Consider the following 22,838-nt stretch of genomic DNA (forward strand, 5'->3'; position numbering starts at 1 on the left):
CATTTGAAATTTCACTACCTTCCCCAAATTACAATCATACGTCAACTTAGAATTAATAAAAATATTTAAATTCATTAGTCACAAAGATGTCTTAAGTGAATGCTATATTCCAAGTCCTGTACTAGGTCTTTAGGATTATAAGAAGGTGTAAGACTCAATTTTTGTCCTCATAATGCTCATTACTTAACCAAGAATATAACAGATTAATTAACTCATTCATTTGTATGCTTATTCATTACATTTTACTACATTTAAAAAATACCGTAGATTTCAGCCATATAAATACCCTTGTTTGCCTGACAGAAGAGTGTAATATAAACACAACTGAACCGTTAAAATACAACATTATGAAAGTAGATGGAAGGAACTGCACGTGCCACGTGTGAGGAAAGATAAGACAGGTGGTAGATATTCTGGATATAGAGAAGCCCATTTGAACTCAGACACTAGGGAAAAACTAAAGGAGAAGTTATAACTTGAGGTAGCCTTGGATGTATTGAGGTAAGAAGAGGACATCTATGGTATGGTTAATGAGAACTTCAGGGCAAAGGATGTCATCCCAGCAAGGAAAACGGCAAAGGTACGTGAACAAGGCAGACAGGGAGAACAGGCCTCTATTCACAAAGCAGAGAGTACAAACGTTGGAAAGCAATGGATAGAGGGCCACACCCTGAAGATTCCACCCTGAATGTTGAAGACTCTCCACTGAGTGATATAATGGGCTCTGGAAATTCATAAGGGGGAAGTTGGCAGGTGGGTGTGGAATAAAAAAGCTACATGTTTGGTACAATGTACACTACTCAGGTGACAGGTGCAATAAAATCTCAGACTTCACCACTATACAAATTATCCATGTTACCTAAACCACTTGTGCTCCAAAAGCTATTGAAGTAAGACATTTATTTATTTATTTATTTATTTATTTATTTATTTATGTTTATTTATTTATTTTTTTGAGACGGAGTCTGGCTCTGTCGCCCAGGCTGGAATGCAGTGGCGCAATCTCGGCTCACTGCAAGCTCCGCCTCCCGGGTTCACGCCATTCTCCTGCCTTAGCCTCCCGAGTAGCTGGGACTACAGGCTCCCGCCAGTACGCCCGGCTAATTTTTGTATTTTTAGTAGAGACGGGGTTTCACTGTGTTAGCCAGGATGGTCTCGATCTCCTGACCTCATGATCCGCCCGCCTTGGCCTCCCAAAGTGCTGCGATTACACGCTTGAGCCACCGCGCCCGGCCAAGACATTTAAAAAATGAAAACAAAACACTATCACCTGAGTAATTTGTTTGCTTACATTAAATATCATAATACTTTTCAGCAAAAAATATTATCATTTTAATGTAACTTTCGTTCCCTGTATTTGAGCGGAGTACTGCACTATCCATAAACACCCTCTGAATTTTCTACAGTAATGGAAAAAAATCTTTGAAAAAAATAAAAGAAGGTTCTATGTTTGAGAATATGGCTATATGAAAGGGGTTTCAAGAAATATCCAGTTCTTCCCAAGACGATGTACTTCCAGTGACCAGTTTTAAGAAGTGGAACAGGCCAGGCGCGGTGGCTCATGCCTGTAATCCCAGCACTTTGGGAGTCCGAGGCGGGCAGATCACGAGGTCAGGAGATCGAGACCATCCTGGCTAACACGGTGAAACCCCGTCTCTACTAAAAATACAAAAAATTAGCCGGGCGTGGTGGCGGGCGCCTGTAGTCCCAGCTACTCGGGAGGCTGAGGCAGGAGAATGGTGTGAACCTGGGAGGCAGAGCTTGCAGTGAGCCGAGATCACCTCACTGCACTCCAGCCTAGGTGACAGAATGAGACTCTGTCTCAAAAAAAAAAAAAAACAAAAAAAGTGGATCGAATATTTCCTAACGAGGTCCTTCAAGTAATAATAAGTGATTAAACTTTTTGATAATGATAATATCAATTGGACATGATAAAAATACTATTAATAAATCTTTTGATTTAAAAACTAACCTTGTACCCACTTCTTTTGTAGGCGTGGGGGGAGCTTAGAGTTAAGTATTCCAGTATCCGTTAGGGATTTGGCAGTATACATCAATAACAAATAGTAGAAGGAAAATAATTATACCTGTGTCATATATATATATATATATATATATATATATACACACACACATAGAGAGAGAGAGAGAGAGAGAAACCATCTCTTAAATTACCTGTAGCACCACTATGTTATTCTTTACTCTCCCAATACCCCAAGTAGATTGCACATGTGACTCTTTTATTAATGTGTTGAATATTCATAATGATAATGAATAATATGAATAAATAAATTGATAAGTGCGTAACTATGAATTAGGCATTGCTTTACTCTTATCTGGAGATTTCAATTCATGATAAACATCTTTTAGTGACCATGAATAAGAAACTCATAGACCTGCATTAGAGAAATGCAAATCTAAACCACAATGAGATACCATCTCACTCCAGTTAGAATGGCAGTCCTTAAAAAGTCAGGAAACAACAGATGCTGGAGAGGTTGTGGAAAAACAGGAATGCTTTTACACTATTGGTGGGAGTGTAATTTACTTCAACCATTGTGGAAGACAGTGTGTGAATTCCTCAAGGATCTAGAACTAGAAATACCATTTGACCCAGCAATCCCATTACTGGGCATATACTCAAAAGATTATAAATCATTCTACGATAAAGACACATGCACACGTATGTTTATTGTGGCACTATTCACAATAGCAAAGACTTGGAACCAACCCAAATGTCCATCAGTGATAGACTGGATTAAGAAAATGTGGCACATATACACCATGGAATACTATGCAGCCATAAAAAAGGACATGAGTTCATGTCCTTTGCAGGGACATGCATGAAGCTGGAAGCCATCATTCTCAGCAAACTATCACAAGATCAGAGAACCAAACGCCGCATGTTCTCACTCATAAGCAGGAGTTGAACAATGAGAACACATGGACACAGGGAGGGGATCATCACACACTGGGGCCTGTGGGGTGTGGGGGTGTAGGGGAGGGATAACATTAGGAGAAATACCTAATGTAGGTGATGGGTTGATGGGTGCAGCAAACCACCATGGCATGTGTATACCTATGAAACAAAACTGCAAGTTCCGCACATGTAACCCAGAGCTTAAAGTATAATTTAAATAAATAAATAATAAATAAATAAATAAACTCATAGACCTCAAAGTATGGGAAGCCTAACTGCCTACGGCCACTTGCTGCTTCACTCTAAAATCTGTTTCTGCATCTGCCCCTCAGTCAATGACTGAGGCCCACAGGGTGGCTAATGCAGATCCCTCTTTAGGAGACACAGGGCTTCTCTGAGGACCAGTCTTGGCTCAGGATTCCCTGAAGCCTTTTCTCACCCTTCCTTAGACTGTACATTACGCTCCAGTGCTTCCACTCAACCTTCCTTTCCTCTTTCCTTCATTCTAGGTCAGACTTGCCTCATAGCTGAGACCTCTTCCAGGCTTACTCAGCTTCCTCTCCATTTTCTCTCACAGGGATTTCCCTTAATAAAATCCTCTTGTGTTTAACTCGTTTTCAACATCTACCTCTTGGAGGACCTGGACTAACCCACCACATAATGTTTGTATTATAATTACTTCCATTCTACAGGTTGAGAATCTGGGATCTGGAGAAGTTAAGCAACTTAAGTTACTCAAGTAAGGCCACACAACGTATATAAAGTGTGCTGCAAGGAGTTAAACCCAGGGAACGCACACTCCAAAACAGAACCATCAACAAGTACCAATCCTGAAACCAACTAATAAAAGGTAAAGATACAATTAGCTTGGTGCAAAATGTTATTTTTCTCTCTAATTACATTTTCTAAGGTTTCACTGTTTGTGATTAAGAAGGGATGAATGATTTTCATCAAAACTCTGCTCAACAAGCCGGGTGTCGTGGCATGCACCTGTAGTCCCAGCTACTGAGGAAGCAGAGGCAGGGGGATCACGTGAGCCCAGGAGGTTAAGGCTGCAGTGAGCTGTGATTACATCTCGTTGACCACGTGACCCTGAGTGTAACTCATAGACCTCAAGCCTGGGCAACAGAGCAAGACTCTGCCTTAAAAAGTAAAACTAAGCAAAACAAAACAATCCTGAACAAATGGTTGCACATAACCAGCTAAACAGTAATATAACAGTTGTTGGCAGGGTGAGAAGAAACTAGCAGACTGTAGGTTTGTCATACTGTTTTTTTGTTTCTCCAGAAACACAGATATAATATAGGCAATGAAAGCTGAGACTCATCTCTTAATTTCAGTTAAGCTATTAATTGATTTACATCATTTACTTACAGGTCAGAAAAGTTCCTTTCAAAAGGCAGGAATGTTGTTTCATGTTAATCTAAGGACTTGCTTACCTTTTGTTTCTGTTCTTAATGATCACAGTTACTAATACAGTTAAATAATATTTAGATAAAATACATTACAATTATAGCTGATCAAAAATCTCATTCCAAGCTGTTATATTGTTGACTATCTCATGATCACTCTTCTTATGAATCATGTAAATAGGGAAAAATACTGCAAAGTAGACCCACGTTACTTCAAATGAAATATGATTTAATAAAATCAGTTATTCTTTGCCAATTTTGTAATGTTCAAAATAACCACAATTGAAATAGTGATACATACACATCAGAACAGTTCAAATGAAAAAGAGAAATGATACCAAGTGTTGGCAAAGATGCGGAGCAACTAGAACTCTCTCCCATTGTGGATGGAAATGTAAACTGATGGACACCACCATTTTCCATGTATGCTAAATCTGACCATATTCTATGACCCTGAGCATATACCCAGCAATATTTACCAAAAGACAAATACATGAATGCTCAGAGAGGCACCATTCAAAATAACCACAAATTGAACTTATATTTGTATAATGATATAGTATATAGCAATGAGAACCTAACAAATTACAACTATATGCAAAAAGATTAACAAATCTTATAAACTAAATATTGAATGAAAGAAGCAAGATACAGAACATATTCTACGATCTAATTCACTAAAAATTGTAAAACTCATCAGTTATGTTCCAAATCACCATAAGAGCGATCCTATGAAATAGTGTCTAGAAGAAGTAATAATATAAAATTTCCTGACTTGAGTACTGGATACACAGAAGGGCTAAGTTTGTTTAAAAACAAAAGAAGTATTGAGCTGTACAGTTAAGATTTGGGTATTTTACTGTTTGTATGTATTTTCAGCGTTAGAAAATTATGTTAAAAAGTCTTTATGCTCTTTTTCTTAATATATTTACAATAGACAAATTTTCATTAAGCCACAGTATAAATAAAAAAGACCCACACAGGTATTTTTAACATGGATGAAGTGGTTCTGTCATCATTAAATGAGTACTTTAGGATGCAAGTCTGATATAAAAACTTACTTCCCTGAAGACTTTAATTTTGCATGCAAAATACACGGTTTCTAAATTAAATTTTTTTGTAACAAAGCGTTTTTGAGTTCCCCTCATGGAATTTTAATAAATCATTAATTTCTTCTTTTTCTCTTTCATGCACAAGCAGTGGATAAACATTTCAAAGATCCCTACAGAAGTTTCTTCCCTTGAAATACTGTTCACATGACAATGAGAAGGATGGAATAAAACACAAAAAAGGTAAGCAATTTTTTTTTTTTGAGGCGGAGTCTTGCTCTGTCGCCCAGGCTGGAGTGCAGTGGCGCGATCTCTGCTCACTGCAAGCTCCGCCTCCCGGGTTCCCGTCATTCTCCTGCCTCAGCCTTCGAAGTAGCTGGGACTACAGGCGTCCGCCACCGTGCCCAGCTAATTTTTTGTATTTTTAGTGGAGACGGGGTTTCACCGTGTTAGCCAGGATGGTCTCCATCTCCTGACCTTGTGATCTGCCCGCCTCCGTCTCCCAAAGTGCTGGGATTACAGGCTTGAGCCACTGCGCCCGGCCAACAGGCAAATTTTTCGTTGGGGAAGTAGTAGACCAACCATCTGTGCTTATTTCTTCTAAACAGAGCTGGGAATGAGTGACAGCAGTTGAACAGGAACACTTGCTCCCCAAGCACTACTTGTTTTTCATGAAGAAGGAAAAAAGGCAAAAGCCCTGCTACATTTACATTCGCAAAATTGTTTTCAAATGAGGATTAACAAGATGTTAGTTCCCTCTCTGTTGAACACATAAAATATTAAAAGGCAGTGCTAATACATCTATATACAGCACATCAGGAGGAAGGAGGAAGTCATTTCTCCTGACTTTACCAACTTGTCTTATTTGAAACTGATACCGTGCCCTATTGGCTGATAGGAGTTTCACTTTATTTAGAATACAATAGAATTTGGCTCAGATTCACACCAAAAGTATAGTATTTTGATGTGCACTTACACGATTTCAGGGGAAAACAATATCTGGAATGTGACCCTGGAATTCATTACAAGTCAGTTAAAGGGATCTCTCTTAGAATTTTTTCATAATTGGACTGGGACAGGATGTAAGAATAAATCATTAACAGTAGATGAGGAAAACACTTGACGAGAGCTTTCTCGTCTTACCATTACTGCTCTTTCTATCAGAGGTTAAAGACAGAATGGGGACCATGTTGTGGTTGTTATTCTTGTTGTTTGATTGGTTTGTTTATTATGTTCTTGCAGGACTTGGTTATGTGGCTGGATATGAAAATTCTTTCCATTTCCAGAGTCATAAATCTCCTAATTTCTAGGAGATTAAATACTGGTTTTATCTTTGGCTCCAGTAAAAATGTTGCTATCTTGGATTAAAAGAAGGTTGGGAAATACGTTGTGTCTATTCACCAGTGAATGGGAACCCCTTCTACAACAACAAATTTTCCATTCAAACCATTTCTAGGCCTCCCTTCCTGGTTCTGATAGCAAATGTGAAAGCAAGTACTAGAGATTTGGGTTTTGTAAGTTTCCTCAAATACTTGGGAAATACTGGATTCCGTTGCCAAGTGTTGCCTTTTGTACATTCAGCTTCTACACAGCACGTTTTCTCTATGTTGAAAGTCCTAATCCTTGAAATCTCAGAATGGAAAAGAGTTATATGACTAATTTTATGTGCCAGGATTATGGGAATAAACTTTCATGGAAGATAGGAAGCTTACAGGGCATTTAGAGAAAGGAGACATCTGTAGAATCAATTCAGAATGATTAAGCCCCTTGTGATCTCACTATCTCACTTCAATTGTTAAGCCACAAAACTCTTTTTAAGTTAATCTCTAACATTTATTTGGCTTTATAATTACATATAAATAATGTCTAAATTTGACACCTATGTTTCCAAACTTAATAATGAAGTCAAAATAAACAGAATTAAGGAGAGCTTATTACGATCTTTATTGTTATTTATATATAACAAATTTCCTATTGAGAATATAATATTTTATGATATCTTATGGATGTCATTAACATTGCTTTAATAAAGGTATTATCATGCTTTGTACAGCAACCAACACGAAAATGTTACTATACCACTGCAATAGATAGAATAAAAACATGTTCAGAAAGACTTAGAAACTCATTAAAGAATGGACGTTAATCACTTTTCACCCTAACTCCTCATTTGGCAAGGCATGAATCTATGCATTCCAGTTTAGACAGGTGGCAAGTAAGTAGTCTCATTGCATTTCATAAAATAAGCAGCTGCGTGAATTTGAAAGATACTATTTCCACATGAAAAGCTAATGACTGCACATGTAAAATCAGTAGTGTTTAGGAAGCTGTCATTTAAAAAACAACAAACTACCTAATTAAAAAGTAGCACAAATGAACTTTTGCCTACGTAAAAAATAGAACATTGCTTAGCCTTTTCTTAAACCCCTCCCCAATTCTTACCAAGAAAGGATAAATACCTTTATTATAGTCAAAGCTCTGTTTTTATGGTTTTTGAATTTTTTAATCTAAAATTCAAAGCAAATAATCAATCTTTAATTTATATTTATCCCAATTTGATTCGAAGTGACGGTCCAAAAGTAAAATGATCAATTATAACTATAATCAATCACAAATAATGCTATGTGAGTTTGAAATGTTAATCTAAGTTGCCTTTTCCAGGTATGCATTTTAAAATTAAACTCTTCTCAGTAAGATCAAGGCTATCCTTCATGGATTTATGATGTTTGATAATCACCACGTTGTACTGATTTGCTGTCTCACTTCACTGTTTGATATCAACATATGAAAGTAAAAATGCTATTTAGGGGATAACTATTATCTGAGCACTAATAAATTAAATGCTATTTTAAGCCAACAACAAAATTGTTTAGGGTACAATTTTTATTTAACCAACTGTCCATTATAAACATTATAAAATTCTGAAAGATCCTAGAATCTTATATAGCTTTTTTGTATTTTTTCAAATGTAATTGACACCAGCATGAATTAAATTTCATATTTAAAAAGCTTCAGACTACATTACAACATACTTTAAAATTACTTGCAAGATATGATAATTCTAAGATTACCCACATATCATGCAACTGAAACAGCCAGGTACTTCCTACCAACACATGATACAATAAAATCCAGAAGAACTTCTGAATTAGAGTGTAGTAGTTGCCTAGGGCCATCATACCTAATTATCACACACTTGGTGGGTTAAGAGGACAGAAATATATTCTCTCATAGTTCTGAAGCCTGGACCTCTGAAATCAAGATGTTGGCGGGGCCACACTCCCCCTGAAGACCCTAGGGAAGAATTCTCCCTCGCTTCTTCCTGGCTTCCAGTGGCTCCTGGCAATCCTTGACCTTCTTTGATTTATGACTGCATAACTCCAATTTCTGTCTCCATCTTCACATGACCTTGTGTGTGTCTTTTCCTGTATGTTATAAGGACATTTACACTGGATTTAGGGCCCACCTTCACCCAGGATGACCTCATCTCAATCACTGGGTTAATTATATCTGCAAAGACCCTACTTCCAAATAAAATCACATTCTAAAGTTCCTAATGGACATAAATTTTGGAGGTACGGTATTTAAATCACTACACAGAACATGTAAAGACAAAAATCTGGAAGCTACCTGAATGAAAATGGATATTCCCTTGAACTTCGACAAAATCATATTCTATTTTTCCATGAGAAACATTTTATTACTCTAAAACAATATTCATATTTCACAAGTACACCTCTTAAATTATAGCTTGGACTTAAGAAAAATAATTAGCTTTGGAAATTATCAGTACATGATATCTAGTATTTCCTATATTTTTAAGAACTTCTACCTCCTAGCAAAAATAAACAATGCAATGGATAATTTCTGTGTTCTAAATTCACACACACAAACAGGAAAGGGACTTTAAAAATGATGTGTTCTCTTTTAAAGCAGAAGCCCAACCACCTGCTCTGAATCTAAAAGTTTCCTGAAAGCAATGAAGGGCTAGTTTATTATGAAGGTGTTGATAGCTGATTCTGTGGAGACTCACACAGAAACAAAGAATAAATTTTAATCACACTTAATGCTAATGTGGTAGTAAGGTTGTGACAATATTCAAATATGACTAATTTCATTGAATTAACTACACTCGGGCTTAGCTTAGTTGTCCAAATTTATTACAAATAGCTCAAACTAAATAACTCAACTCTTCTGTTTTCTATTTATTTTTTGTTGATGCTTAAGAGTAAAAAGATATTTCAACTGAATTTTTTTTTTTTTTTTTTAGCAATCAGTTCTCTTGTTTTATCACCATAAGACTGTAAACGGCCGTAACAGGTCACTGAATCTAGCACTGCCTTCAACAAGAAATGCACCTAGAGCAGGAATATAGTACTTGGCACTCATCTCTAGACCTATAACCTAACAGATTTTTTTTTTGTCTGTCTTTGGTGAAAGTAACGTAAATTTAGAGCTGGAAAGGACCTTAGAGGTCATCTAGTCCCACCCAAGCATCTTTGAAAACAAAATAAAGAAGTGTGTTGGCCTGATGCGGTGGCTCACGCCTGTAATCCCAGCACTTTGGGAGGCCAAGGCGGGCAGATCACAAGGTCAGGAGATCGAGACCATCCTGCCTAACATGGTGAAACCCCGTCTCTACTAAAAATACAAAAAATTAGCCGGACATGGTGGCAGGTGCCTGTAGTCCCAGCTACTCGCGAGGCTGAGGCCGGAGAATGGAGTGAACCCAGGAGGCAGAGCTTGCAGTGAGCCGAGATCGTGCCACTGCACTCCAGTCTGGGCAATAGAGTGAGACTCCGTCTTAAAAAAAAAAAAAAAAAGAAGCATGTTTATTTCATCATTTTGTACTTATACACTGTGTATTTCCAGAAAAGCCCCTGAGACAGCTTAGAATGAAAGGCACAGACACTATAAAACAAGGGCAAAATGACAGAATAATGAAGAGAAAGAGGTGACAATTACATGGGACAACCTAGGGAAGGAAACACTACCCTTCAGCCTAAAATTTAGTCCTAAGCCCCTTGTTCTTAAAGGCCAAAAGGAAAACCAGAATTCAAATAGGTATTGTTAGTTAATAAAATAGTATCTGGATATATCAGCAACTATTTTTTGGTAACTCTAAACTCAAGCAAAATATATGTCTTCAAGCAACAGACAATGGACAATATAATAAAAATAATCTTCCATAGCAATTTCCAAACTTTTAAAGATGTAAGAACAAATGATCTTTTCTTACAGGATGCTTAGTTGAAAGCTGCCCGCATGATGGTATTTTAAACTACATGATGTTAAATTCCCTGCATGATGGTATTTTATTGGGACCTGGTTATATGATTTGGTGAAGAATGTAACCTTTGAGAACTTAGAAGAGTGAATGGTTAATATTTCTCTGAATTTTTTTGTTTTTAATTGATATTTTATTTTATCCCTCATAGACAATATATGCCTGGGAAATACACTGAAGTATAGTAAAAAAGAATCTAAGGGTTAAAGTGTTGAGGTAAATGAGAAAGCAGAGGTTGTGTCTGAAGAACCGTGTGGTCGCACTGCACCACACAGCAAACAGAAATATGGGTGAGCACAGGCCGGGCGCGGTGGCTCAGGCCTGTAATCCCAGTACTTTGGGAGGCCGAGGAGGGCGGATCACGAGGTCAGGAGATCGAGACCATCCTGGCTAACACGGTGAAACCCCGTCTCTACTAAAAATACAAAAAATTAGCCGGGCCTGGTGGTGGGCGCCTATAGTCCCAGCTACTTGGGAGGCTGAGGCAGGAGAATGGCGTGAACCCGGGAGGCGGAGCTTGCAGTGAGCCGAGATCGGGCCACACCACTCCAGCCTGGGGGACAGTGAGACTCCGTCTAAAAAAAAAAAAAAAAGAAGTTCACCCTATGCAGGCACTATAACTACGAGTCCCTCCCATCTGAGCCTTGCCTTCCAGACAACCCCACCAATACATAAGACAGAAAAAAAGCACCTTGCACCTTCCAGACTGACTTGTTTGCCAGCCGCATAGCACTGAGTCACCCTAGTTAATGATATGAGAGAGGAAGAATCACTCAGACGAATCCTGCTGGAATTTCTCACCTATAGGATCCATGAGATACAATGAAGTGGTCGTTGTTTTACCTTATTAAATTTGGGGTAGTTTCTTTTTTCTTTTTTTTTTTTCTTTTTTCTTTTTTTTTTTTGAGACGGAGTCTCACTCTGTGGCCCAAGCTGGAGTGCAGTGGCGCAATCTCGGCTCACTGCAAGCTCCGCCTCCCGGGTTCACACCATTCTCCTGCCTCAGCCTCCCGAGTAGCTGGGACTACAGTCACCCACCACCACGCCAGGCTAACTTTTGTATTTTTAGTAGAGACGGGGTTTCACCGTATTAGGCAGGATGGTCTCGATCTCCTGAACTCGTGATCCGCCCGTCTCAGCCTCCCAAACTGCTGGGATTACAGGCGTGAGCCACGGCGCCCGGGCCATTTGGGGTAGTTTCTTAAGCAGCAATAGTAACTGTAACACTGACTCACTTCTACTGCCACCAATCACTATCCTCCTTTCCTGATTTACTTCCTCGTATGTACCATCTTTTAAAAAACAAATAATTAGGCCGGGTGCAGTGGCTCACGCCTGTAATCCCAGCACTTTGGGAGGCTGAGGTGGGCGGATCACGAGGTCAGGAGATCGAGACCATCCTAGCTAATATGGTGAAACCCCGTCTCCGCTAAAAATACAAAAAATTAGCCAGGCGTGGTGACCGGGGCCTGCAGTCCCAGCTACTCGGGAGGCTGAGGCAAGAAAATGGCGTGAACCCGGGAGGCGGAGCTTGCAGTGAGCTGAGATCGCGCCACTGCACTCCAGCCTGGGCGACAGAGGGAGAGTCTGCCTCAAAATAATAATAATAATAATAATAATTAGTGAAAACTTCAATAACTTTTGCACCGGCCTAATAGTTGTAAAGAAACTATAAGCAAGTTCACAAAAGTTAAAACAAAAAATCAGCTATGAGAAACAAATATGAATTATACCACTAACTGCTGAAAAGAAAGACTCTAAGACTGAAATTACCAAAAAAAAAAAAACCCTCAGCTGAAAACAAAACAAATAATCAAACTCTATTACTCTACTCTATTTCCATGAAGTGTACAAACTGTTCCTGTAAGTTTAACGATATTAAAATGTACAAAGATTAATAAAGTAAAAATCAAAGACTATTTATAACATCATCGATTTCACATAAAGTAGAATTTTAAAGGAAAAGGTATCACATGGAAAACAATAAAATATTTAATATTACAAAGCAAAACACTAAATGAACGTCACATTTAATTGTGAAATCATTAGCATGTTTCTCCGTTATGACTTATTAAAGGATAAAATTTGAGCATTATAATGTATAAGATTTTTGGCCGGGCGCAGGGGCTCACGCCTGTAGTCCCAGCACGTTGAGAGGCTGAGGCGGGCGGATCACGAGGTCAGCAAATCCAGACCATCCTGGCTAACACGGTGAAACCCTGTCTCTACTAAAAAAATACAAAAAAATTAGCCAGGCGTGGTGGCGGGCACCTGTAGTCCCAGCTACTTGGGAGGCTGAGGAATGGCGTGAACCTGGGAGGCGGAGCTTGCAGTGAGCCCAGATTGCGGCACTGCACTCCAGCCTGGGCAAGAGAGTGAGACTCCCAATCCAAAAAAAAAAAAAAGAAAAGAAAAGAAAAGAAAAACCGACTTTCATTAAAGCCTCCTGCAGAAATTTGCATAAGTAACAAGGAGCCAAATGTAATCACCAAGACAATGGGGAAAATGTCTCCAGAACATTAAAGACCTTAACACCTTCACGGCAGCTCTTTCCATCACAGGCTCAAAAGCCTAGTATGGAAAAATGATTTCCTGGAGCAGGTCCAGGTCCCCCTGCTGTGTGCAGCCTAGAGACTTGGTGCCCGGCATTCCAGCCACTCCAGCCATGGCTGGGGTGGGAGACACCAGGCTACAGCTCAGGCCATGTCTTCAGAGGTTGCAGCCCCAAGCCTTGGCAGCTTCCACAAGATGTTGAGCCTGCAGGCGCACAGAAGTCAAGAATTGAGGTTTGGGACCCTCCACCTAGATTTCAGAGAATGTATGGAAACACTTGGATGTTCAGGCAGAAGTTTGCTCTGGTGGGGTGCGGGGGCAGGAGCAGGGGCTCATGAAGAACCTCTTCCAGGGTAGTAGAGAATTGAAATGTGGGCTCTGTCTCCCATACAGAGTCCCTACTGGGGCAATGCCTAGTGGAGCTATGAGAAGAGGGCCGCTGCCCTCCAAACCCCCAATTGGTAGATCCACAAACAGTTTACACTGTGTACCTGGAAAAGCCACAGACAATGCCAGCCAGTGAAAGCAGCCAGGAGGGAGGCTGTACCCTGCAAAGCCACAGAGGCAGAGCTGCCCAAGGCCATGGGAGACCACCACTTGCGTCAGTGTGACCTGCATGTGAGACACGGAGTCAAAGGAGATCATTTTGGAACTTTAACGTTTAATGACTGCCCTATTGGATTTCAGACTTGCATGGAACCTGTAGCCCCTTTGTTTTGACCAATGTCTCCCATTTGGAACAGGTGTAAATACACTGGGGGTACCCAATGCCTGTACCCCCATTGTATGTAGGAAGTAACTAACTTGCTTTTAGTTTTACAGGCTCATAGGTGGAAGGGACTTGTCTCAGATGAGACCTTGGACTGTGGACTTTTCAGTTAATGTTGAAACGAGTTAAAACTTTGGGGGACTGTTGGGAAGGCATGATTGATTTTGAAATGTGAGAACATGAGATTCAGGAGGCACCAGGGGAAGAATGATATGGTTTGGCTATGTCCCTACCCAAATCTCATCTTGAATTGTAGCTCCCATAATCCCCATATGTCATGAAAGGGACCCAGTGGGAGGTAACTGAATCATGGGGATGGGTTTCTCCCTGTGTTGTTCTTGTGAAACCGAATAAGTCTCACAAGTTCTGATGGTTTTATAAAGGGGAGTTCCCCTGCACATGCTCTCTCTCTTGCCTGCCACCATGTAAGACATGTCTTTGCTCCTCCTTTGCCTTCTGCCATGATTGTGAGGCTTCCCCAGCCACGTGGAACTGAGTCCATTAAACCTTTTTTTCTTTATAAATTACCCAGTCTCAGGTATTTCTTCATAGCAGTATGAAAGTGGACTAACACAGTATCAAACCCTGGTTTGGGGTAATAATCACTACCTTCTAGGTAACCAGAATGGAAAAAAATAACAGAAAAAAAATCTTAAAAATCATCCTGCGTACAAGAAAAATGAAACTGTATGCTGAATTCTCAGGGGGAGAAAACGTATTTAAAAATATATGACTTTCAAACCACAAGAAACTATAGAACATTGCTTTAAACTATTTGTCTATGAACAGTATGTAGAAACACATGGAATTTAGGAAATAGGAGATGAAGGCTACAATAACAAAAGAGGCTCATATCACAAAATGGGAGATAGCTGAGATGAGGCTTCTATGAAAACTAAAGTGCAAGGGCAGATTTTCCATCCACAGGGAAATCCGTGGAGAAAGAAACTGACACACTGAAAAGTTCAAGCAGCAATTGAATCAGAGCTCTGGAGGGCAAAAGAAGAGATGAACTAATGACAGAGAAGAAGGCGGATGGGTATGCCAGAGACCACAGGTTCCACCTCGAGAATAGTTTGTGTACTGGGGAAAGACACAAGGGCAAGGAGATCTGAAACAATAATCAAAGCTATCACTGAAGTACGAATAATAAAAGCACCAACCAGCTTCTAGGCAGGGAGGGGGAAGAAACAAGGAAGAGTTCTCCATATTTAAATAACAACTAGCCAAACTCCTGAATTTTACAAATAAAGAAAAAAACTTCCTTAAAAATAAAAAGTCAGGCTTAGATAAGACTTTTTTTCTTCTCTGTTAACATTATTAGAAGACATAAAGATTTTAAGAGAATAAAAATATGATCAAGAGGATCATAAATATCAGGTTGTCTTTACCTGAGTACGAAGCAATGGCATCTGTATATCCAGCACTGATTTGTCCTTCCAATAAAAATTTACTCAAAGACATATGGGTACATATTAGAAAAATAATCAAAATTAATATTTCAAGGATTAGGAAGTTGTGAAGCCAAAATCCTGCAAGGGGACAATTGATTCAGTTAATGGAAAGATTTATTTTTCATATTTTATGATTATTTACCAAAATAATATTTTTAAAGTATAATTATAAAATAAAAATAAAATATTTAACAATACTATAATTATAATCATGTTCCAAGTTATAAAACAAGATAGTGAGAATTGTCAGTAAGATAGTAAGAATTCTAATACTATCTCAAAATAAAGGATACAGAAGGTTTCAGGGCAAGAGAAAGGGAAAACCTTCTATATCCTTTAGTTTGAGATAGTATTAAAGCTTTCTGTAGGCTCACTCAAAATGTCCGGATTCTGACCACATTTGAATATGAGCACTCCCAACCTGACGATTCCTAGTCTAAGCCACACATATTTCCTCTTATGGTTATTGCAAAAGCTCCCTAACTGGTCTCCCAGCTTCTGCCGTTGATTCCTTTCAGCTATTTTTTACACAAGTGCCAGAGAAATCTCAGAAATGCAATTCAGATGATATCACTTCTTTGCTTATATCTTTCAATGTTGTTCCCCTCTACGTGTTCATGTATTCTCCCCTTTGACTCTCGCTTCTAAGTGGGAACATTTGGTTTTCTGTTCCTGCATTAGTTGGCTAAGGATAATGGCTTCCAGCTCCATCCATGTTCCTACAAAGGGCGTGATCTCATCTTTTATGGTGGCATAATATGCCATGGTGTATATATACCACATTTTCTTTATCCAGTCTACCATTGATGGGCATTTATGTTGATTCCATGCCTTTGCTACTGTGAATAGCGCTGCAATAAACATATGCATGCATGTGTCTTTATGACAGAACAATTTATATTCCTTTGGGTGTATACCCAGTAATAGGATTGCCGGGTCGAATGGTAGTTCTTTTAGGTGTTTGAGGAATCACCACACTGTCTTCCACAATGGCTGAACTAATTTACACTCCCACCAACAGTGTAGAAATGTTGCCTTTTCTCCACAATATTGCCAGCATGTTATTTTTTAGCTTTTTAATAATAACCATTCTGAATGGTGTGAGATAGTATCTCATTGTACTTCTGATGTGCATTTCTTTAATGATCAGTGATGCTGAGCTTTTTTTCTACGTTTGTTGGCTGCACGTATGTCTTATTTTGAAAAGGAGGGTGAAAGCTGGGAGGAGGGAGAGGATCAGGAAAAACAACTAGTGGGTAGCAGGTTTACCATGTGGGTAACAGAATAATCCGTACAACAAACCCCCATGACACAACTTTACCTACATAACAAACCTGCACGTGTACCACTGAACTTAAAAGTTAAATTTAAAAAATAAAAAATAAAAAAATCTTTCAATGGTCCCATGTCAGTTTGAGGAACAGCCAAAGTCCTTAAAATGACGTACAAGGTGCTCGTTCCATCATCCGTCTTCTCATGTTTATTTCTCTGCCACCATCTACTAATACTCTTCCCCCTTCTCATTCTACTCCAGCTATAATGGCTTCCTCGATGCTGTTCTAAGAATAAGTCCACATGATTCCGACTCAGGGCTTTTGCCCAAGCTGTGGTCTCTCTTTGGAATGCTCTTGTTTCAGCAGAGCACGATTCCTCCTCATTTCCTTCAAGTCTGTCCCCAAATGCCTTCTACCTGGTGTGTAATTGTCATGTGTGGCAGTTTTAAACATAGTCCAAAAACAGGTTGATATTCTTCTCATCAAAAAATAGGTCTATGTCTCCCTTCCCTAAATCTGGACGTGCTTGTGACTGCTACAATCAATAGAGTATGACAAATAATTCTACCTGACCTTTAAAGTGAGATAAAAAGAGACCAGGCATTTTCCACCTGGTTCCCTTGGAGTGTTTGATCTGCGGAAAGCCAGCAGCCATATAAGAAGTTTACCCTGTGCAGGCCGGGCGCGGTGGCTCAGGCCTGTAATCCCAGCACTTTGGGAGGCCAAGGCGGGTGGATCACGAGGTCAGGAGATCGAGACCATCCTGGCTAACACGGTGAAACCCAGTCTCTACTAAAAATACAAAAAATTAGCCGGGCCTGGTGGTGGGCGCCTGTAGTCCCAGCTACTCGGGAGGCTGAGGCAGGAGAATGGCGTGAACCCGGGAGGCGGAGTTTGCAGTTAGCCGAGATCGGGTCACACCACTCCAGCCTGGGGGACAGTGAGACTCCGTCTCAAAAAAAAAAGAAAAAAAAAAAAGTTTACCCTGTGCAGGCACTATAACTAAGAGTCCTTCCCATCTGAGCCTTGCCTTCCAGACAACTCCATCAATTTATAAGACAGAAAAAAAGCACCTTGCACCTTCCAGACTGACTTGTTTGCCAGCCGACTAGCACTGAGTCACCCTAGTTAATGATGTGAGAGAGGAAGAATCACTCAGATGAATCCTGCTGGAATTTCTCACCTATAGGATCCATGAGATATAATGAAGTGGTCGTTGTTTTACCTTATTAAATTTAGGGTAGTTTCTTTTTTCTTTTTCTTTTTTTAAATTTTTTTTTTTTTGAGACGGAGTCTCCCTCTGTCGCCCAGGCTGGACTGCAGTGGCGCGATCTCGGCTCACAGCAAGCTCCGCCTCCCGGGTTCACGCCATTCTCCTGCCTCAGCCTCCCGAGTAGCTGGGACTTAAGGCGCCCACCACCACCAGGCCAGGCTAACTTTTGTATTTTTAGTAGAGACAGAGTTTCACCGTATTAGGCAGGATGGTCTCGATCTCCTGAACTCATGATCCGCCCGTCTCAGCCTCCCAAACTGCTGGGATTACAGGCGTGAGCCACGGCGCCCAGGCCATTTGGGTTAGTTTCTTAAGCAGCAATAGTAACTGTAACACTGACTCACTTCTACTGCCACCAATCACTATCCACTTTTCCTGATTTACTTCTTCCTATGTACCGTCTTTTAAAAAACAAATAATTAGGCCGGGCTAAGTGGCTCACGCCTGTAATCCCAGCACTTTGGGAGGCTGAGGCGGGCGGATCACGAGGTCAGGAAATCGAGACCATCCTGGCTAACACGGTGAAACTCTGTCTCCACTAAAAATACAAAAAATTAGCTGGGCGTGGTGGTGGGTGCCTGCAGTCCCAGCTACTCGGGAAGCTGAGGCAGGAGAATGGCGTGAACCCAGGAGGCGGAGCTTGCAGTGAGCCCAGATGGCGCCACTGCACTCCAGCCTGGGCGACAGAGCGAGACTCCGTCTCAAAAAAAAATAAAAATAAAAAATAAATAAAAAAAGATTTTTAATATATATATACGAGAATATGTGAAACAGTATTTTTTCAAGTTTCCATTGAAAATTTTAAAAATAGATTATATAAAACCTCAATATATTTTTTAAAATAAAAACCACACAGGTCACATTACCTACTCAAAATTTAATTACATTAGAAATTAAGACAAAGTTAAAACAGGACAACCAGCACCCCTAGTATCACCCTCCTCAGAGTATTTAAAAATAGATTCCTTTAAATTATCTCTTTTTTTACAAGAATAAAATCTAATCAATTATTAGAAAGATAATCTCAAACTGAACTCAAAAGAAGAAGCAAAGCATCTTCAAAGTCAATAAGGGTGCTATAAATGCTTCTTGGACTCTGAAACTCTCTGACTTCCCATTCTACTCTCAGTTGTAGAAAACTCCCTGATTGTGAAGTTTTGGTGTGATTAGGTTAGGTTTACCCAGATACTCCCCCCGTCTTAAGGCTGACGGATTATTAGCCTTAGTGACATGTGCAAGACTCCTTTGCCGTGTGAGGTATCAACAGGGTAACATGAGGAAATGAAGGTCATAGGGGCTATCTTAGACTTCTTCCTGCTACAACCTCTATTCACTTATTTTGAATCCTCAGGGTTTAATGAGCTCCTACTATGTTCTAGGTCCTTGCAATAGGAGTACAGCAGTGAACAAGACAAACATGGTTCTGGTCCTTGGAGTACAAAGTAAATGCTGAAAATTTAATAAATGGGTCAGTAGATAGATAGATGTATAAAGGTCTAAATGCACATTCAGAAAATAGCAGGAGAACACTGAGACTCAGTATTATTGAATATGCTTTAAAGGCCCATGTGTCGTCTTGAATGAAAATGTTGCTCAATTTCTGATGAGGAGACTAATTCATCAATATCTGTTATCATTGACTGATGACCTCACATAATAAAAGATCTTGACTTGAGTGTACGTTAATAATCAACATAATGGGTAATGTATCAAAAGAGTATATGGAACATAATAAAAAGATATAAATTGAAATCTTAAACAGTTTTGTGCTAAAATATGTTTAGAATTGCTTGAACCCAGGAGGCGGAGGTTGCAGTGAGCTGAGATTATGCCACTACACTCCAGCCTGGGCAACAAGATCCAACCTCCGTCTCAAACAAACAAACAAACAAACAAACAGAAACAACCCAAACAAACACAAAAAGTTACTATAATTGTATCTCTTTTGACTATAGCCTGGAAGAAATCACTTTCTCCCCAACTTAAGGAAGGGGAGACTTATCTCTAGCCAAGCTTTGAGTATAAACATATAAAAAGTAATTTTCATTTTCTTGAAACTGACTGCATGAAAAGGCATATGGTGTTCCCAAAAAATGTCTGATGAGTGAGAATATTAAAATGACTAAACTGATGGGACATATTTAATTTAATATTTAAACTTGATAAAAACTAGTTAAGCATTTAACTCAAGAATTTCAAAATGGTACAGCAAAGCATACAAGCAAAATTAAAAGGAATGCTAATTACATATTAAGTTAGAAGGCAATAAATTATAAACAAAAACAGTAACAATTTATAAACATACACAAGTTCATTCTTTAACAAATAACCCATGATACAGAAAAATATAGCAAATGTGATAAAACAAAAACTGAGAAAACATAAAATTTAAAGTGAAAAAAAAACAAAACATGCAGAAATTGTTTTAAAGACAAAAAATACTATCTTAGAAAATTAAATACGTGTTTCACTAAAATAAACATGTACTGCTTAAATGAATCTTAATTTAATTTTAAAAATAGTAAATAGGTTGCAGGCATCAATTTTTGCAAGAAATGTAAAACATTATTTTAAAAATTTTTATTAAAGTCCCTATAACCAGTGTTTTTAATAAGCATCTGTTTAAAACATCTTGTAAAATGGACCCCAAACTAGGAAATATGGATAAAGTTATAAAAAGTGGCTTCCTTTCAGTTCATTTTACAAAGCAAATATAACTATTACTAACTCTTGATGAAGTGAATACAAAAAGAATAAAATTACTAAACAGTATCCCTTATAAACATAGTTAAAATATTCTTAACTGAAAGAAAAAGGAACTGAATTCTACACTTACTAAGAAATCACCCACCCCAGTGATTTGGCATACAAAGATTTAATACTAGAAAATATATATTAATATAATGCAACACAACAATAAAGCTATTTACTTTATATTGTACATTTACTGCTACAGACTAAATGTTTACATCCCTCTCAAATTCATATGTTGAAATGCTAACCGCCAATGTGAGGGTTTTTGAAGGTGGGGCTTTTGGGAACTAATTAAGTCATGAGAGAGCAGCCCTCATTAATGGGTTTAGCACCCTTCTAAAGCAGCCCCCTGAACTCCCTTGCTCCTTCCCCACTGAGGTTATAGAGAAAGGGCAGCCTTCTTTGAACTAGAACAAAAGTTTTTCCCAGACACCAGATTGGCTAGTACCTTGGTCTTAGATTTCCCAGACCCCAGAACTGTGAGAAATTCCTTTCTGTTGTTTATAAGCCACCAAGTCTATGGTATTCTGGTACAGCAGCCCATTTTTGATATTTATTTAATGATATTTAACATGCATGACTGATGAAATTTAACAAAGTAGTTATAGATATGTCCTTACCATGATTAAAAATAACTCTTAAATTGATGCATACTTTTATTATCTAGTTCTAGCCAAAGCCATAAGATGAAAACACAAATAAGAAACCACCTATATGGCACATGTATACCTATATAACAAACCTGCATGTTCCGTGCATGTATCCCAGAACTGAAAATCATATTTTAAAAAAATTTATTTATATAGAAAAAAAGAGAGCAAATGATAATATTTTTCAAAAACTGATAATTTAATTACGGTAAGTTCTGTGTGATATGTGCCTGATGTGTGTGATATGTGTCTGATGTGATATGTGTGAGATGAAAAACACTAAGGGGGTATGTGATTTTGAGCATTCACGTGCCCATAAATCCTTGTTAGAATTAAAATATCACATTAAACCTCTCTCTTTCTTTTAATGTCCATGGTTTCTTTATATGTTTTAGTAAGTGACACAGAGGAAAATACTGAGCGGACACCGTTTCTAAATTGGTAAACTGCCCTGAACTGCCACTTTACTCTTTTCTACAGCAAGTGTGGAAGATTAGAGTTCAGGCAAACATGTCATGTAAGTGGTGAAGATTCCCTTTTTCCACTGGGACAGCAGTAGAACTGAAGGGAAATCAGACAACAGCTACCTCAGCAGGAGAGCCTCAATGATGACACTTTTGCCTCAACAGTGGAAGCTGGTAGTTTCCAAAAATAGAGCTAAAAAGTGAATCAAGTTTTAAAGCACATTGAAAGTCACACGTAAAATTCATTATTACAGAAAAGCTATCAACCAATCACAGTAAATGAGTGAATTTAGAAATTAAATTTTAATATGAAAGGTTCATGTTGTCAAAACTGACTATGTTAGTCCATCTCAATGCTATAAAGGAATACCTGAGACTGGGTAATTTATAAAGAAAAGAGGAGTATTTGGGCTGATGGTCTGCAGGCTGTACAAACAGGCCACCAGTATCTGCTCAGCTTCTGCTGAGGCCCGGGAAGCTGACAATCATGGCTTAAGGCAAAGGGGGAGCTGGCATATTACATGGGGAGAGAGGGAGCAAGGGAGATGCCAGGCTCTTTTAAACAACAAGATCTCTCGTGAATTCATAGAGCAAGAACTCACTCATTACCAGGAGGACAGCACAAAACCATTCATGGGGATCCACCCTTGGGAAACAAACACCTATTACTAGGCCCACCTCCAACACTGGAGGTCGCATTTCAACATGAGATTTGGAGGGGACAAAACATCCAAACCGTATCACTAACGGAAAGTTATTGTTTAAATTTCTGTATTCAGTCCCTTGGCCTTTTTGAGAAATGCCATTCATTTCAGCCATCAAGCAAATTATTATTTGAGACATTTATACCTCTTCATCCTTTAAAAGTTTCAGAAGCATGAATTTAAAAAGTATTCATTGTAAATTTGAGGCTAGTCAAATTGATGTGGCATCTAAGTAGCACGGTGATGGGATGAGGAGACAAAGTCACGAGGGGAGG

General features: G+C 38.9%; 1 non-coding gene and 1 pseudogene across 2 annotated transcripts in view, besides 1 other annotated feature; both read right to left on the bottom strand.

Annotated features, from left to right (window-relative positions):
* Nucleotides 1-9,770, bottom strand: part of LOC101059997 (alpha/beta hydrolase domain-containing protein 17A-like) — a 30,190-nt pseudogene extending 20,420 nt beyond the window's left edge. The window contains exon 1 of the transcript XR_007064495.1: nucleotides 9,676-9,770. The product of XR_007064495.1 is annotated as an alpha/beta hydrolase domain-containing protein 17A-like, transcript variant X1 (transcript). The remainder of the gene's footprint in view (nucleotides 1-9,675) is intronic.
* A 5,938-nt stretch (nucleotides 9,771-15,708) lies between these two features.
* Nucleotides 15,709-15,802, bottom strand: MIR4509-3 (microRNA 4509-3). Its single transcript, NR_039734.1, has one exon. It is a non-coding gene; the product is annotated as a microRNA 4509-3 (primary transcript).
* Nucleotides 17,021-17,521: an enhancer, noted in NCBI's record as "H3K4me1 hESC enhancer chr15:28737210-28737710 (GRCh37/hg19 assembly coordinates)". NCBI's record gives its function as "activates a minimal SCP1, AML or CMV promoter by ChIP-STARR-seq in primed H9 embryonic stem cells {active_cell/tissue: H9 hESC(primed)}" and the evidence as "EXISTENCE:reporter gene assay evidence [ECO:0000049][PMID:30033119]".

This window comes from Homo sapiens, chromosome 15 (genome assembly GCF_000001405.40).
Source record: "Homo sapiens chromosome 15, GRCh38.p14 Primary Assembly".
NCBI lineage: Eukaryota > Metazoa > Chordata > Mammalia > Primates > Hominidae > Homo > Homo sapiens.